At 33.8% G+C, this 18,043-nt stretch overlaps 1 protein-coding gene across 17 annotated transcripts in view; it reads right to left on the bottom strand.

Annotated features, from left to right (window-relative positions):
• PIK3C2G (phosphatidylinositol-4-phosphate 3-kinase catalytic subunit type 2 gamma) overlaps window positions 1-18,043 on the bottom strand; it is a 483,857-nt gene that overhangs the window by 314,541 nt on the left and 151,273 nt on the right. For all 17 annotated transcript variants that reach the window (XR_931307.3, XM_047429007.1, XM_017019471.2 and 14 more), the window contains one exon: window positions 12,430-12,618. Coding sequence is in view for 16 of the 17 variants with exons in the window: in XM_047429007.1 (XP_047284963.1) it covers window positions 12,430-12,618 (189 nt within the window). In the remaining variant the exon portion in view is untranslated. The remainder of the gene's footprint in view (window positions 1-12,429; window positions 12,619-18,043) is intronic.

Raw genomic sequence — 18,043 nt, 5'->3', positions numbered from 1 at the left:
GTTTGGCATGGATCATTGTTATGTGGCCATAAGTTAAGGAATTAGCACTTGTGGACTGTTTCTCAGCCTGTGTTTTCTCTGGGCTCAAATTATCTGTGAAGTCATCTGACCAACATTCAGACTTGGGAATCGTCATTACTCTTCTCTTTTCTCAAACATTTACAGTCCCTCTCATCTCAGAGCACTGTAGGAATATCCAGAGGATTTAGGCAAATGTCAATAGGGCCGGTGGAGTCATGAAATAAAATTTCAACAGAAAAATATATTTTTCAAGTTCTTCCATTTGACAGTAAAAAAAACACTTCTATTCCTTTTTTAGATTTTCTCCCCTTATTGTTTTTTTCACTTGTTCCTCTTTTCTAGTTTGAAAAGGGTATAGGGAAAATATCTTACTCAAAGAACTTTTGAAGTGATGGGTGAAAGCCAAATGCGATGTAACAAATGTCAACCTTTTAAAAAAGCAACTTTGAGTAAACTGAAAAGCAAAGAAATCTGAGATCAAATTTAAGTGTAATGGAAATGTCAGACTTCAGAATACACAGCAAGAATTCATGCAGAATATGCCATGAGGCTATTCACAGCTAAAAGCCCCAATGTCAGGTTAGAATTAGAAAATCATCAGAAGTGCAGAACTGTTTCTCCAACAGATTTTGAGTCTGATGACACACTCAGCATCAGCTTGGAAGAAAAATGTCAATATGAATATCTTTGCTATTTTTCTAGTACTAAAAATGATCAGATGTGACAAGAATTTTTTTTTCTAGCAAAGTGGTGAATAGGATTTTTTTAAGATGATTGTAAATGTCTATCTACTGAATAATTCATGTTCTTTCAAGGATTTTTATATGGTTACAGAATATTAGAACCCAAAGAAACTTGAGACCTAGTTTAATCTCCTTATACAGATGAAAAAACTCAAACTCGGAGTATAAGCAGTTTTCCCAACACCATTTGTTTGTGTCACTGAAACTATCATCCAGATATCCAAAACACTAGGCCATTAGGCTTTCTACAGCACCCCTAGCAAGGACTTTTCATTTTTTTGACTGGATATTTTTATATTTACTTATACAAAAATCACAAGATTATCTTGGGTATATTATTTATTTTATTGCATTCTAAATGGATCAGTAAAGATATTTAATAGTAAGCAATGTAATCTGTCTAACTGGACTGGGACATTGACCCAGTCATGATATAACAGGAATAATAATGAATCTCAGACCGAAGGAGACATGGAAGCCATACAGAGATATTTCCTGATGGATAGTATATGGACTTGCATATAGAAATTGGGAATTAACTAGATGGTCATTGTATTAGTGAATTAAAATTGCTATTTACAATTAAAAAGCAGTTCTTGATTTCGCTCCTCTTATATAATTACACGTTGATTTTACATGTAGCTAATCTTAAAAAGTCACTGTCATAAAGCCAGTAGTGTACTGAAAGCACCATGTAGATATTATGTTTGGATGCACTAAACATAAACATTATATGTAAAAGTAACATGATGCACTGAAAAGGATAGAAATTTTGAGTTTAAACATCGAGACTGTTCTTTTATTGCCTTATGTTCCCTCTCTCTAAGCAAATTCATCTATATCTTTCACTTAATTCACATCCTTCTGTGGATGATTACAAAACAAATTGGAGTCTCTAGCTTAGACTTTTTGAACAACCAAATCTGTAAATGCAACTATTTCATGACACCTCAAAGCCAATGGATCCTAATCTGAAAAATAATCTTTTTTTTTTTTTTTTTTCTTTCTGAGATGGAGTCTCACTCTGTTGCCCATGCTGGAGTGCAGTAGCGCAATCTTGGCTCACTGCAACCTCCACCTCCTAGGTCCAAGTGATTCTCCTGCCTCAGCCTCTTGAGTAGCTGGGACTACAGGCCTGTGCCACCATGCCTGGCTAATTTTTGTATTTTCAGTAGAGACAGGGTTTCACCATGTTGGCCAGGCTGGTCTCAAACTCCTGACCTCAGATGATCTGCCAACCTCACCTCGGCCTCCCAAAGTGTTGGGATTATAGGCGTGAGCCACTATGCCTGGCCTGAACAATAAGGCTCTTCTAAAATTTGCTAGTCAGCTAGTGTGCCCCATGTTGGTGAATGTTTCTATTATGACCTACTTACATAAGACAGAAACATAGAACTGAGCCTTGATATGGTTTGGATTTGTGTCCCCACCCAAATCTCATGTTGAATTGTAATCCCCAGTGTGCTGGAGGTAGGGCCTTGTGGGAGGTGATTCACTCATGGGGGCAGATTTCCCCCTTTAGTGCTGTTCTAGTGATAGAGTTCTAATGATATCCGGTTGTTTAAAGTGTGTGGTACCTCTCCCCATCTCTTCCTCCTGCCCAGCCATGTGAAGGTGTGCCTGCTTCCCCTTTGTCTTCCACCATGGTTGTAAGTTTCCTGAGGCCTCCCCAACCATGCTTCCTGTATAGCCTACAAAACCATGAGACAAACCCCTTTTCTTTATAGATTACTCAGTCTCAGGCATTTCTTTATAGCAATGTGAGAACAGACTAATACATCCTTGACACATCTCTTTTTCACAGACCCTCTCCATTCAATTCTGCCATTTTCACTCCCATTTTCTCATTCTGTTCATTTAATTACATCATTGCTGCCACCTTCCGAGGATGACTGCCATTCTCTGACACCTAAACTACTTCCATTGCTTCCTAACAGGAAGCTTATTTTTATTTTTTATTTTTTAAATTATACTTTAAGTTCTGGGGTACATGTTCAGAACAGGCAGGTTTGTTACATAGGTATACACATGCCATGGTGGTTTGCTGCATCCATCAACCCATCATCTACATTAGGTATTTCTCCTAATGCTATCCCTCCCCTAGCCCCACACTCCCCAACAGGTCCTGGTGTGTGATGTTCCCCTCCCTGTGTCCATGTGTTCTCATTATTCAACCCCCACTTACAAGCGAGAACAGTTGGGGTTTAGTTTTCTGTTCTCATGTTAGTTTGCTGAGAATGATGGTTTCCAGCTTCATCCATGTCCCTGCAAAGGACATGAACTCATCCTTTTTTATGGCTGCATAGTATTCCATGGTGTATATGTGCCTCATTTTCTTTATCTAATCTATCATTGATGGGCCTTTGGGTTGGTTCCAAGTCTTTACTATTGTGAACAGTGCTGCAATAAACATACATGTGCATGTGTCTTTATAGTAGAATGATTTATAATCCTTTGGGTATATACCCAGTAAATGATTGCTGGGTCAAATGGTATTTCTAGTTCTAGATCCTTGAGGAATTGCCACATTGTCTTCCACAAAGGTTGAACTAATTTACACTCCCACCAACAGTATAAAAGCGTTCCTATTTCCCCACATCCTCTCCAGCATCTGTTGTTTCCTGACTTTTTAATGATCGCCATTCTAACTGTCCTGAGATGGTATCTCATTATGGTTTTTATTTGCATTTCTCTAACGACAAGTTATGATAAGCTTTTTTTCATATGTTTGTTGGCTGAATAAATGTCTTCTTTTGAGAAGTCCTTCACCTACTTTTTGATGGGGTTGTTTGCTTTTTTCTTTAAATTTGTTTAAGTTCTTCGTAGATTCTGAATATTAGCCCTTTGTCAGATGGCTAGATTACAAAAATTTTCTCCCATTCTGTAGGTTGCTTTTTCACTCTGATAATAGTTTCTTTTGCTGTGCAGAAGCTCTTTAGTTTAATTAGATCCCATTTGTCTGTTTTGGCTTTTGTTAAAGACAATCCTAAGCAAAAAGAACAAAGCTGGAAGCATCATGCTACCTGACTTCAAACTATACTACAAGGCTTCCATAATAAAAACAGCATGGTACTGGTACCAAAACAGATATAAAGACCAATGGAACAGAACAGAGGCCTCAGAAATAATGCCAGACATCTACAACCATCTGATCTTTGACAAACCTGACACAAACAAGCAATGGGAAAGGATTCCCTATTTAATAAATGGTGTTGGGAAAACTGGTTAGCCATATCCAGAAAGCTAAAACTGGATCCCTTCTTTACACCTTATACAAAAATTGACTCAACATAGATTAAAGACTTAAACATAAGACCTAAAACCATAAAAACCCTAGAAGAAAACCTAGGCAATACCATTCAGAACATAGTCATGGGCAAAGACTTAATGGAAGCTCATTTATTTTTGCTTTCCTCACCAAATCTATGCTTCACTCAGAAACCAGAGTGATCTTTAAGAGATGCAAATCTGTTCAAAATATTCTGTTACTTAGAATCATTTATGCCTTACTGTTGCTACTAGCATAAAGGCCAATTTGCCCAACTTGGTCCTGCTTTAGAAGTCCTCAACATGGTCTTCTAGTTTGACCTTCAAATGTCAGTTCATCTTAAATCATGTACTCCTCCCCTGGACTTCAGCTACACTGTCTCTCTTCCAGTTTCCTATGTGCAGTTCCTGTCTCAAGACTTAGTCATATTTAAGTTCTTTCTTCCCGGAAAATCCTTCTCTTAATCTTTCCCTTTTGTCAATTCATTCCCACTTATCCTTTAGATTTGAGCTCGAATATAACTTACTTAAGGAAGACTTTTCTCCTTTGAAGAAAGGTTTGGTTCTTTTGTTGTATGTTATCATAGGATTATGTAGCTTTTATTCAGAGTTGTGATAACAACTGTTGTTTTACACTCATAATTTGGTAATGGCCTATTATCTACCTCCAGAAGATTGCAAGACCATGAATAAAGATCATGTTTCTTTTTGCTAGTTTCAGGGCCTAGCAAAGTGTCTAAGGTGAGTAGGCCATCAATATACACGTATTGAATAAATGAATAAACAAATGGGTTTCAATGTCTTCATCTGTAAAATGGAGATCAGTAAAATGGAGGAAATAGATGTTGGGACTAATATTAAGGAGGTTTTTCTGTATTTCAAGTCATATATTGTGAAATGCTTTGTAAATTATGTCCTTCAATTATAAAATATTATTAAGATGCTAACTCTTTATCATGTAAGTTTTAACAAGTGTGTTTAAGTCATTTATGTTTAATAGAAATTAAATATTTCTCATGAATTTATTTATATTTAACATTTGGCAATGAAAGAATCTGAAAGCTGAAAATTCTCTTTAAAATGTAATTATAATGAAGGATTCATGATAAGAATGTTTGGTAGCATTTATTGAATGCTCTCATATGTACCTTACCTTATTTGTTCCAGACAAGAACCCTAGGAGGTATATAATATTACTCTTTGTTTTAAAGTTAAATAAACTTGTCCAAGGTCATTCAAGGAATAACTGGTAGAACCAGATAAGTCTGATTTCAAAGCTTATGTTATCAACTGTGAAATCTGGAAATAACTCAAGAAACTCCAAAAGCATACAAGGACAAAATATGTATCTTTGTGTTTATATAACTCCACCTTCTTCATTCTCACCTTCACTCTTCCTCGATAGGGAATACTGAAATTTCCACATTTTTCTCTTCTGTATCCACACTTATCTATAATTGTATTCATATTTTTCCTTCCCTCTCACCTGAGAGGAAGAAGTTACACTCTTTTCCCTGGATAAAATGCTTGCTTGCACTTGTGTTCCAGGCTGTTGGCTGTTAGTACCATCCCATTTTGCTACTTCACCTATCTATCTCTTTTCTGATCTTCCCTTCAAATATCCTTCCTTTCACCTTGTAAGCACGCTGGAAGCTCTTTTATTTAAAAAGGGATACAAACCCCAAACATCAAACATGTTTTTCTGACCACTTCCAACTTTAGCTATCTTTTTGCCTTTATCATCAATTCTTTTCCAAGAGGCACCATTTATATCTCCCTATTCCTTTTTAGGAACTTGAAGTATGGAATCTAACTTCACTATTAAAATACGACCCAGTAATCTCATTTCTGGATATATATCCAAATGAATTAAAATTAGTATGTCAAAGAGATATCTGTACCCCCATGTTCATGAAAGCATTATTTACAATAGCCAAGATATAGAAGCAACCTTAGTGTCCATTAAAGGATGAATGGATAACGACACTGTGGTATGTACACACAATGTAATACTGTTCATCCTTAAAAAGAAGGAAGTTCTGTTATTTATGATAGCACGAATGAACTTGGAGGACATTATGCTAAGTATAATAAGCCAGGCACAGAAACACAAATATTTTAATAATCTCACTTAAATGTGGAATCTGAAAAAGTCAGTGTCATAAAAACGGAATGGAAAGGTGGTTACCAGAGGCTTTGGGGAGAGGAGAAATGGAAAAAGAGGAGATTGTTGTCAAAGGGTACAACATTTCAGTAGCTTGGAGGAGTAAATTTCTGTGATCTATTGCACTGCGTGGAGATCAGAGTTAATAACAATGTATCATATATTTTGAAATTGCTAAAAATAAATTTTTAACATTCTAAACACAAAAATAAGTTTGTGAGATGATGACTTTGTTAATTAGCTTTATTTAATCTTTCTACAATGTATATATAGATCAAAAGATTATATTGTACCACATAAATATATACAATTATTATGTCAATTAAAACTAAATTTAAAAAACTGCTCTCATTGATATCATCAGTGACTACCTGATTTCCAAATTCATTAATCTGTTTTTAGACCTAATTCTATTTAATACTTCTTTAAAGCCTTTGAAAATCTTTTTCAAGAGTTCTAAGATACCACCCTTTTCTGGATCTCCTGCAACCTTTTGGTCACTTTTTTTTCAGTTTATTTTCCTGGTTTTTCTTGCTTTGCACTGTTCTTAAAATGTTGCTGTTCTCCCGGGGAGGCGGAGGTTGCTGTGAACCGAGATCGCACCACTGCACTCTAACCTGGGAGACAGAGCAAGACTCCATCTCAACAACAACAACAACAACAACAACAACAACAACAACAACACAAATGTTGCTGTTCTCCAGAGTTCCATCTCTGGCCTCTTTCTATACTTCCTCTCTATAGCTACACACAGTACTTGTCACACATCCTCTACTTCCGTAGCTTCAACTACTGCCTGAAAGCCAACAACTCCCACATTGTTTTTCAAGTTTTGATTTATCTGCTAAAATTCAGACCTGTATACACAACTGCATACCAGGCATCTTCTTCTATGTGTCTCATGGGTTTTTAAAAATGTGACATATCCAGAATAGAACTTTTCAACGTTCACTACGTAAATTTGCTCTTTCATCTAAAACTTTTATCTTGGTGAATGATGCAATTATCTATCAAGTTTCCCAGGTCTGAAAGCTTAAAGTCTTCCTTATTTCTTCTCTCTTTTTTACTTTCCTCTGAAACTTCTCTCAAATCTGCTTTGTGCGTTCCTACTGCTTAGACTTCTTAGTTCAGTCCCAGACCATTTTTCAAATGGATTATTTCAATATCTATTATCTATCTAATATTCTTTCTCTCATTTTCTTCTTTTTTCAATCTGTTCTTTATACTGATGCCAGATTTGTGCACATATAACACAAATCTGATTTTATGACTCCTGTTCTTAACAAAATTCCATGGTATGCCATAACAAGTTCATAGTACCTACCTGGCTCAGCAGGCCCAAAACAATCTAAATTGAACCACCATTTTCAACTTTGTTTCCTGATACAATTCTCTTCTAATGTTATATAAAATGATTCACTATTTTCTGAACCTGTATAACCATGCACACACTAGTCTTCCTTCTTGGAATGTCATTTCCCCGCTTCTCCACTCAGAAAATTCCTATGAATATTTCAAGTCAGAATCCAATTTCTTTGTGAACTTTTCCTTACTTTCCTTGAAAGAATTTTCCTCTCTCTCCTTTGGGCTCGTAGAGTACTTAATACTTATTTTGGTGATGGTACAGAGCACATTGCCTGGTAACCTCTAGCTTGAGTCTCTCCCTATAAATTGTACCTTGTTTAGAGACAGTCACTATGGCTTATTCATCTACCTCTTTGATTCAGTGCCTACCAATTTGTCTGTACACATATTTTTGTTCAATAAATAAATGGAAAAGATACACCATCATTCATAATTTAATCAGTCAAATGTGAGAGTTTTAACTGCCTCCCTATGCCATATTCCATTCTTTCTATTTACAATGTTAGTAAACAATGGCATCAGTATAAATTAAATGTACAATAAAGAATACAATGGTTTGGAGAAAAAAAATATTTTGGAAATATTTTTCCAAGGAACCTAATTTTGGAAGCTAAGGCACTGTTCTGTTAAATATTGCTTTTCTTCTTGCAAAACAATAATTTTACATCATGTGGGATGGCAAGTTCTCATACCTTGTCAAATTTTTATTTAAGCTTCTGATGTAATCCTCTGATGCCAATTCAAAGTTGCTATTTTTAAATGAATACTTTCCTTGAACTGACTTTTAATTCCTTGGGTAATTTTTGCTTGTTATTAGCAGTTGAATAGTTGTGCCTGGGAATGAGGGTTCAGGAAAATAGCAACCATCTGCCAGGAACCACAGACCTTAGCCCTTGGTCTCTGTTTTCCTGACAGCACCCCCTTCTCTAATGGAAGTTATCAGTACCCAGGGAGCTCTCTGCTGGCACTCAGTAGTAGAAATATTAACACTGTATGGCCCATCCTAGGTAAATTAAATTTCATCATGCCTCTTGCTAAAATTAAAGTAAAAGGAGATGGTGAACCTTTGGACAGATTAAGTAAATAGCAATATTAAAAACTCCCCAAGCTGGAAATGGAGCACACCAGTTGTCAAGAGGTTAAACCATTTAAAAAAATAGATTGTTCAAAGGAGGAAAAATATAGATCTCTCAAGTACTCACTCTGACAACTCACTTAATAAGCACATACTGTTTGTTCTCAGAAAAGTCAGCTTTTTAATTTAGAGGAGTTGAAAGGTTCATTTCTGGAAACAGCTTGTCCTCAAGTTTTTTAATAGTTCAGTAAAACTGAGAGTGGGAGTCAGAGGATGAGTACAATGGAAATACTCCAACATTTGCAGTGACCTTATTTGGTGCATGATAAGAAACTTTCCAGTGTGTAAATAAATCAGGATTCTACTAAGTTCCCTGAATGAAGTTTAATAAACACCTTCTACTTTAAAATCAGTCCCCATAACCTCTAAAAATCTGATTATTCAGAAAAAAAGAAATTACACAGTGAAGTAGAAACATCTGAGCATGACCGAGATCGCTAAGTGCTCCTATTTACAATTTTAAAAAACCGTTTAGGATAGCCAAGATATTTCATATGTAAATAGCCTAGCATGTTTATGCAGGAAGGCTTTAAACAGAATGGTTCAGATTATAAGCTCTCATGAATGCCTGGATTTGATTCCCAGGTTTTCAACTTACAGGGCACTTGAGGCAACATAACCTCTATAGGCCTCAGTTTCCTCATATGTAAAATAGGAATAATAATAGTATTTCCATCATAAGGTTGTTATGGATGTTAATATGAGATAGTACTAAGGGGCACTAAGTAAAAATTTTATCTGGACACATAAAACATTGAATGAGCCAAACAGATTTTGAAGATCTGTTTAGATAAAGAAGACTCACGAAGCATAATTCTGCTTAGTTATCAGGGATCAGAGGATATTGAAGTTCATCCAGCTAATCCTCTTATTTAATAAGTGAGTAAACAGAGCAGTATTACAATCTCATTCTATTAAAGATTTTTCTAAAAAATATTCCATGAACTTTAAACTTTGGAAAGTTATCTTGTTAGAAAATTATTCTTTAAAGATATTAGAGAGATTCATAGATATTACCTTCACAATTATTTTCTCAAAAATTTTAAACACCTTTACCACGATATTGAAATACCATACAATCCACCCCATTTAAAGTGCACAATTCAATGTTTTTAGCATGTTTCCAGATTTGTGCAACAATTATATCAATTATAACCACAAAAGGAAACCTCATACCCATTAGCAGTCAATCTCCATTTTCTCCCAACTTGCCCTCGCTCTGGGTTACTGCTAATTTACTTTCTGTCTGTAGAGCTTTGCCTATTCTGCACATTTCATACAAGTGGAATCATACCATATGTGGTCTTCTGTAACTGGCTTCTTTCACTTAGCATAATGCTGTCAAGGTCCTTCCATGTTGTAGCATATATCAGTATTCATTCCTTTTTATTATCAAATAATATTATGTTGTATGGATAGATCACATTTTACATATCTATTGATTAGTTGGTGGATATTTGGATTGTTTCTACTTTTTGGCTATTGTGAATAATGTTGTTACAAACATGCGTGCATGAGTTTTTGAGTGGGCATATTTTTAAATTTATCTTGAGTATATACTTCATAGTAAGATTGTTGGGTCATATAGTAACTCTGGGTTTAACACTTAAGAAACTGTCACACTGTTTTCCAATTGGCTACACAATTTTGCATTCCCACCAGAGGTAAATGAGGTTTCCAATTTCTCCATATCCTCATCAACACTTTTTATTTTTTGTCCTTTTTGTATCTTTTGATTATAGCCAGACCTAGTGAGTATGGTATCTTAGGTGTTAGGTGATTTTCATTTTTATTTCCTTAATGGCTAATGATATTGAGCATATTTTCATGTAAATGTTCGGCATTTGTGTATTTTCTTTGGAGAAATGCCCATGCAGAGCCTTTGTCCATTTTACAGTTGGGTTATTTATCTTTCTATTGTTGAGTTTTAAGAGTCTTTATATGTTTTGAATAAAATTTCCTTGTCAGATATTTATTTTCTCTTATTCTGTCAGTTGTGACTGTCACATTTTGAATGAATTCTCTATTAGTTAATCAACTCAAGAATGACAAAATAATAATTGTGCTAATAGCCCAAGTCTAACTTCAGCAAAAACCGGCTAGAATTTAGCATAACAATTTTACAGATTTTAGCTGTTCTTACATCTAAACCAGAAAAAGGGGTAGGATCATGTTGGGAATGAGACCTTTTTTCCAAAAGGATCTTTAAACACTAGCATGATGAATTGTGAATATCCCAATGAAACCAATCAATTGTTAATTACCACATGACTATTTTATTAACTAATGCAACTGCACAAAGTCATGTAGGAAATAAATAATAATGATAATATCCTCAAATTGCTTATAATTTAAAGTTAAACTACTGTAAAAATAATAATAATGCATCTTAGAAAGTGATTGGTTCAATACTGAGGAATTACTACGTCCTAGGTAATACTAAGCCTTCAGGAAACAGAAACATTGAGATGATCTGTTTTGCCTTGAGTAGCTCTGAGTCAGATGTGAGTGAAAATATACACATTTTACCTGTTGCATATAAACACATTACCATAAAATGCAATGTGTAAAGTAACAGAGCACTGTACTAGTCCAGGAGTGATCAATTCTACATGGCAAGGTCAGAGAAGACCCCACACAAGAAGGCTTACAAAAGAAAAAAGTTGCAAGCTCAAATAGAAACAAATATAAATATATATATTCCATTATATATATAAAGAAAGAGGTAGGCATCCGAGCACACATCAGTTAATGGAAGAAGCCATAAAACTAATAAAATCTTCAAAGTGAGGAGTACAAAAATAGTATGTAAATTTCGAGCTTGGGTGACTGAGAAGCTAGTAACTCTTACAAATAATAAGAAAAACCCACTCTCCCCTTTACCCACCCCAGAAGTTTTCTGAAGGACACTCATTGGTAAATAAATCTTTAAAAGTCAGTTTAGGTTACATGAAGAAAGTTCTTCATGTAACTCCCTTTCCCACCTTTCTTCTCCTCTTGGGTTCTTGAGAATGGATTCAGAATAGAGCGGGGTTTCACAATTTTTTGCCTGGCTCAAGAGATTGCAGACTTTCTTCATGGCATCAGTGAGCTGATGCTATCAGGACAAACTTAAAATATCTTTTCTTGGCTTTGAATATAAAAGGAAAACCAAGGAAGACTTGTTTCTCCTGGACCAGAGCCAGCTACCACAGTTGTTCCTACAAGCTTCTCCTTAACAGGAAGACATCATTAGCCCTTTCCTGGTGCTCCATGCATTTGATTCTGAGTGAAGATCTCAAGGACATGCAAGGAATAGATTTTTTTCTTTTATTCCTATCATCATCATTATCATATTAATTGTACAACTACTTTACACAGGGCATTTTGCTAAACTTTGCATATTTTAATAGTACAAAAATGATCCTAATTTTTAAAGACATTTTTAGTTTGAGAGAAGAAGTAGGGATTTTTATTTTTCCCTGCTTAATTAAATTATTTCTGTAAGAACTAGAATCCTCATTTAAGAAACTTCTACAATTTATTATACTACAAGCTTAGGGCAGCAGACATGATTATAGCTTAGATTTGTTTAAAATTTATATTCATAGCTTACATTTATCTAAAATTAATATCCATAACTATCAAAATTGAGAACAAACAGAATAGCTATTGAATTAATTATATGGTTCTATAGTTCTCTTCAAGCAAGTTCTTCTCAGTCAGTAATATCATGCTTGTTATGCAATTCTTACCTGGAAGTCAAAAGCCCAAGAGCCTCTAAAGGTTGAGAAAATGTCCATCTTCTCAAAATGGTATGCATTTCTGAAACAGTCCTTTCATCCCATCCAGGGGCACTACCCAGGACTAAAGGAAGGGAGCAGTTTTCATTATTGCAGTAGAAGCGATAAAACCATAAATATCTTTTCTTTTCTTCAGAGAGTCTGAAAAACCAGATTGGAAACTGTAATTTACTGGAGTTTGCTGCACTAACAAATGTTGCTATAAATATGCAGTAGAAAACCTTACTGTAGTTCTTTGAATTTTATTTTAGTTTACTTTCAAAAACATCTTTTACCTTCTTCGGATATTTTCATAGGTTATTTCATCAGTTTATTTTCCACTAACTTTATTCTTTTGTATTATTATTTTGAAAAAAATAACATCAATTCAGATAACTCACATTTATTTTTGTTCACTCTTATTCGTGTTTTTTTTTTTTAATATGTCATTTTGGTTGGCAAAATCTCTCTCCTCTAGGGAAAACCAAGTTTTTCTGAATCCTGCGACACATCCTATTTAGAACAGAGGTAATCAACCGTTTACTTTCTTATTTTTTTTATTTTTTATAAATTAACTGAGATCCAAGTGGGCCTGTGAAAAAATGGCATATTTTTTTTTTTTTTTTGAGACGGAGTCTCGCTCTGTCACCCAGGCTGGAGTGCAGTGGCGGGATCTCGGCTCACTGCAAGCTCCGCCTCCCGGGTTCACGCCATTCTCCTGCCTCAGCCTCCCAAGTAGCTGGGACTACAGGCGCCCGCCACTACGCCCGGCTAATTTTTTGTATTTTTAGTAGAGACGGGGTTTCACCGTTTTAGCCGGGATGGTCTCGATCTCCTGACCTCGTGATCCGCCCGCCTCGGCCTCCCAAAGTGCTGGGATTACAGGCGTGAGCCACTGCGCCCGGCCAAAATGGCATATTTTAGTAATGATATTTCTTCATCTTAAAGCAAGTTTTATCGGAGTTAAGAAATCTTTGCTGTTGTTAACTTCAAAAACAAAGATCTCAATTCATCCCTGGATTATGTCTTTAAATGTTCAGAGTTCATGGGAAGTTTGGCGTGAAAATGTCATTGATGCTAGTTTCTTAGATGCTCAAGTATTTGCCCCTGGAGAGTAGTCTGAAATAAAAGATCTAAATCTAGGACTAGGGCCTTGACTTGCTGACAATTTATCATGTTTTGCTCACACTCCAGTAGAAGTATTCAGAACCACAGTTCAATTGGAGGACAGCTTCCCTCACACGACAATGGCTTTTGCGCACTCTCCTCCAAAGTGACACTGAGCTTGAATCTGCTGAAACTCCCAAGAAAGCTAATGAAACATAAAAAAATCTTTTAAAGGTCTATCTTTCTCTATAATTCATTTTAAAGTTTTCCTCATCTGTAAAAAGAAAAGACTGGATTATAGGTGATTTTGAAGGTGTGGTTAGGTTCCTTTTTTTATATTTTGCTACCACCTTTTCCTCTGAAAAGCCCACAGAAGAAAAAAAATCCATAGTAAAATTACTAAAACATATTTGCTCAGATTAAATTTTTTTCCCCAATACTGAACAATGCTTTCTTTCTTTTTTTTAGCTCTTTTTGTTAAAGCAAATTCACATTCAAGGACATTCCGCAGCTTCAGTTCAATAAATTTTTACAAATGCATGTACCAGATAACAACCACACTCCTATCAAGATATAAAATAGTTTTGTTGATGTCATCAGAGGCAAGCACTGGTATCATTTTTTTCTCTCTTGATAAATATTAACCTTTTAGAACCTCATATAAATGGAATCATAGAGTAAATATGTTTTTATTTATGGCTTCTTTCACTCCATCATATAATGTTTTTGAAATTATCCATATTGGTTGAGTTTGTCAATAGTTAATTCCTTTTAATTAATGAATATTATTCCTTTGTATAACTATGCCATAATTTACTTATTCACTCTCCTATTTGATGGACATTTGGGTTGCTTCCTTTTGGGGGGGTATTATGAATAAAGGTGCTGTGATCATTTGTGCACAAGTTTTTATATGAATGTATTTTTCATTTCTCCTAGGAAATATCTATGAGAGGAAGGACATGGTTATATGTTAGGTATTTATCTTTACAAGAAATTGTGAAACTGTTTTCTGAAGTAATTGTAAAATTTTACACTATTGCCTGCAGAGTATGATAGTTCCATTTGTACCACATTCTTGCCAACTCTTGATTTTGTCTGTCTTTACAATGTTATCCATTCCAATGGGTGTATAGTGGTATCTCATTGTGCTTCTAATTTATATTTACTTGGGGTCTAGGCAATTCTTCATATACTATCTTCTTATATATTTTGTTTGAACTCTCTGCTCATGTATTTTCCCAATTTTTTTGTTTGTTTAGATTCATTTGCATGATTTCTTTATATACTCTGAATACAAAAATTTTGCCATATAAATGTTTTGCACATATTTTTCTCAGAATGTGGCTTGCCTATAGATTTCTTTAATGGGGTCTTTTCATGAATAGTTTTAAATTTTGATAATGTCCAATTCAGAAACTTTTAAATAGTTATTACTTTCTTTATTTGTTTAAGAAAACATTGCCTATCTTAACATTGATTCTTGTGATTTTTTCTGAAGTATTCTGAAAGCAGTATTTTACTTGCTGAAAGTACATTTTTCATTTATTGCATGGGTGGCCTTGTCAAAAATAAATTGAACATACAAATAGGTCTCTGGCTTTCTATTCTATCTACATTGAATTGTATTCTGTTGATCTATTTGCCTGTCCTTAAGCAATATCACATTATCTTAATTGCTGTAAATTTATAGTACATGAATCCATACAAGTTATGAAGTGAGACTTTGTTCTTTTTTCATGATTGCTTTGACTATTCTAGGCTCTTTTGCATTCCACATAAATATTGGAGTCAGCTTTTTAATTTCTACAAAAACCTGCTGGGATTTTCATTGGGATTATATTTTATTTATAGATGAGTTTGGAGAGAATTATCATCTTAACCACAGGAATCTTTCAATCAATAAATGTAGTATATTTTTTCATTTATTTAGATTTTCTTTAATTTTCCTTAGGAAAGTTTTGCACTTTTCTGTAAATAAAATTTTATTAAATAATTTACTAAATTTTAGTAAATAAAATTTTGTTACAGTAAGTAACATTTCAAAACAGAATTTATTTTATATATATTTTTACTGGAACACAATTAGATCTTGTACATTGATCTCAAATGCTGTGACCTTTACATAATCATGCTATGTAAAAATAGTCAGTTTTATTTCTTTCTTTTTAATTTTTACCTTAATTTTTTTTTCACATTGTGTGCTGGCTAGGATTTCCAATACAACATTAAAGAAATGTTTGAAGCAGACATCGTGGCTTTGTTTCTAACCTTAGGAGAAAGCATTCATTCTTGCATGATTTAACATGATACTAACTATAAACTTTTCATAGATCACTTTTCAAGGTTGAGAAAGTTTCATTCTATGTCTAGTTTTGTGAGTTTTTATCATGAATGGGTGCTGAACTTTACCACTTTTTTTCCTAGATCTAGCAAGGTGATAGGATTTTCCTGGAAAGTATTATTCTTTTACTTTTAATCTAATTGCTTATATATAAAATGTTTAATCTAATTGCTTATATATAAATGCTTATATATAAAATCTAATTGCTTATATACATGTTCCTGTAAACAGAATAAAATTATATATTGCTTTTTTGATGTAGGCTGACAATTTCTGCTTTTTAATTTGAGTTCTTAGTGCATTTACATTTAATGTCTTATTGATATGATTACCTAACCATACCAAAGGCTCACTGTACTGCTATTAGTTTCTATGGCGTGTTTTTTTCTTTGTTTGTCTAAACCATTTCTTGGTCCCCTTTTTTCTTTTTTATGTTTCCTTTCATATTTTTTTCCTGTTATATTTCATTTTTATCTTCTCCTTGGTTTTTAAATATACTCTTAAAATTTAAGGGGTGTGGTTTTCCTAGAGATTAAAATATCCTTTGTTTAAGCATATTACAGCCAACCATGAATTAACATTATGCATCCTTACATATAATATGAAAAACTTGGAACAGTTTACTTCCATTTTCCATTTTCATTCTTATTGAAGTTATTATAAATTTTATTTTTTATACATTATAAACCAGAGTACATTGTGATTCATTTTTCTTCAATCACTTTTTAAATAAATTAATAAATGTGTAAATGAAACTGTTTTTATTTATTTACATATTTTGGGGTATTTTTCATTTCTTCTTACCAATTTGAGTTTCCATCTAGTATGATTTTCTTCCAGCTTGATGTACTTCTTTTACTATTTTGTATAGTACGGATGAACTTATACTAAACTAACTCAGCTGGATTTGGTTGAAAATATCTTCATTTGGCCTTAATTTTTGCAACATAATTTTACTGTGTATAGAGTTCTAATTTGAAAAAGTTGTTTTCATCTTTAACACAAAGATAGTATTCAACCTCCTTTTGTCTTGATTTTTTTTTTGATGAGAGGCCTGTATTTAGTGTTTTATATAGAACATCATAATATTAATATTATAGTTGTTTCTCTATATGGAATTTGTTTATTTTATCTGATGTTTCAAAATTTTTAAATTTATCTTATTTTTCAGCAATTTCTCTATAAGGTACCTGGGGGTGTTTGTTGTGTGTGCGTGTGTGTGAGAGAGAGAGAGAAAGAAAGAAGGGAAAGAGAGAAAGAAAGAATGAAAGAAAGAAAGAAAGAAGGAATGAAAGAGGCAGGGAAAGAAGGAAGGAAAGAGAAAATGAAAGAAACAAAGAAAGAAAGAAAGAAAAAGAAGAAAGAAAGAGAAAGAAAAGAAAGAAAGAAAGGGAGAGTATGTATTTGCTTAGGGATTACTAAGCCTTTTACTTCTTATATTTGTAGGTTAATTTTTTTTAAATCAAATTTGTAAAATTTGGCCATCTCCTTAATTATTTTTTGCCTCACTATCTTTCTCCTTTTTGGTGTGTCCAATACACACATATTGTTTGATATTGTCCCTCAGGTTACAAGGCGCTCTCATTATTTTCAAGGTTTATTTTCTTTTTGTACCTCAACATGGGGGATAATTCCTATTGCCCTGTCTTCAAGCTCACCGTTCTTTTTTTCTTGCATTTCACAATCTATTAAGCCCATTTGCTGATTTTTTAAACAAATATTTTAGGTATTGTGTTTTCAGTTCTTAAATTTCCATTTTTAATAAGATTCTTCATTTGTTCATTCATATACATCTTTTTAAAAAATCAATAAATATCTTTATAATAGCTGTATTGGAATAATTATTTGCTAATTTAAAACTCTTTGGATCTGTTTCTATTAACCACTTCCTCTCCCCAGGCTATGTTTATATTTTCCTGATTCTTTCCAATTATTTTCCTAGTTACTGACTGTATGCTAGACATTTTCCAATAGTTTTCTCAATTATTGATCATATGCTAGACATTTAGAAAAGTACATTATTGAGAGTCAGCATTCTGCTATTTTTCAGGGGTCAGATCTCATTTTTTTTAGTAGACAGTTCAATTACTGGAAGATCAGCCTAATTTTTTTGAGACTGGTTTTTATGATTTGTTA

This window comes from Homo sapiens, chromosome 12 (genome assembly GCF_000001405.40).
Source record: "Homo sapiens chromosome 12, GRCh38.p14 Primary Assembly".
NCBI lineage: Eukaryota > Metazoa > Chordata > Mammalia > Primates > Hominidae > Homo > Homo sapiens.
This window is presented reverse-complemented; position numbering and strand designations above follow the sequence as displayed.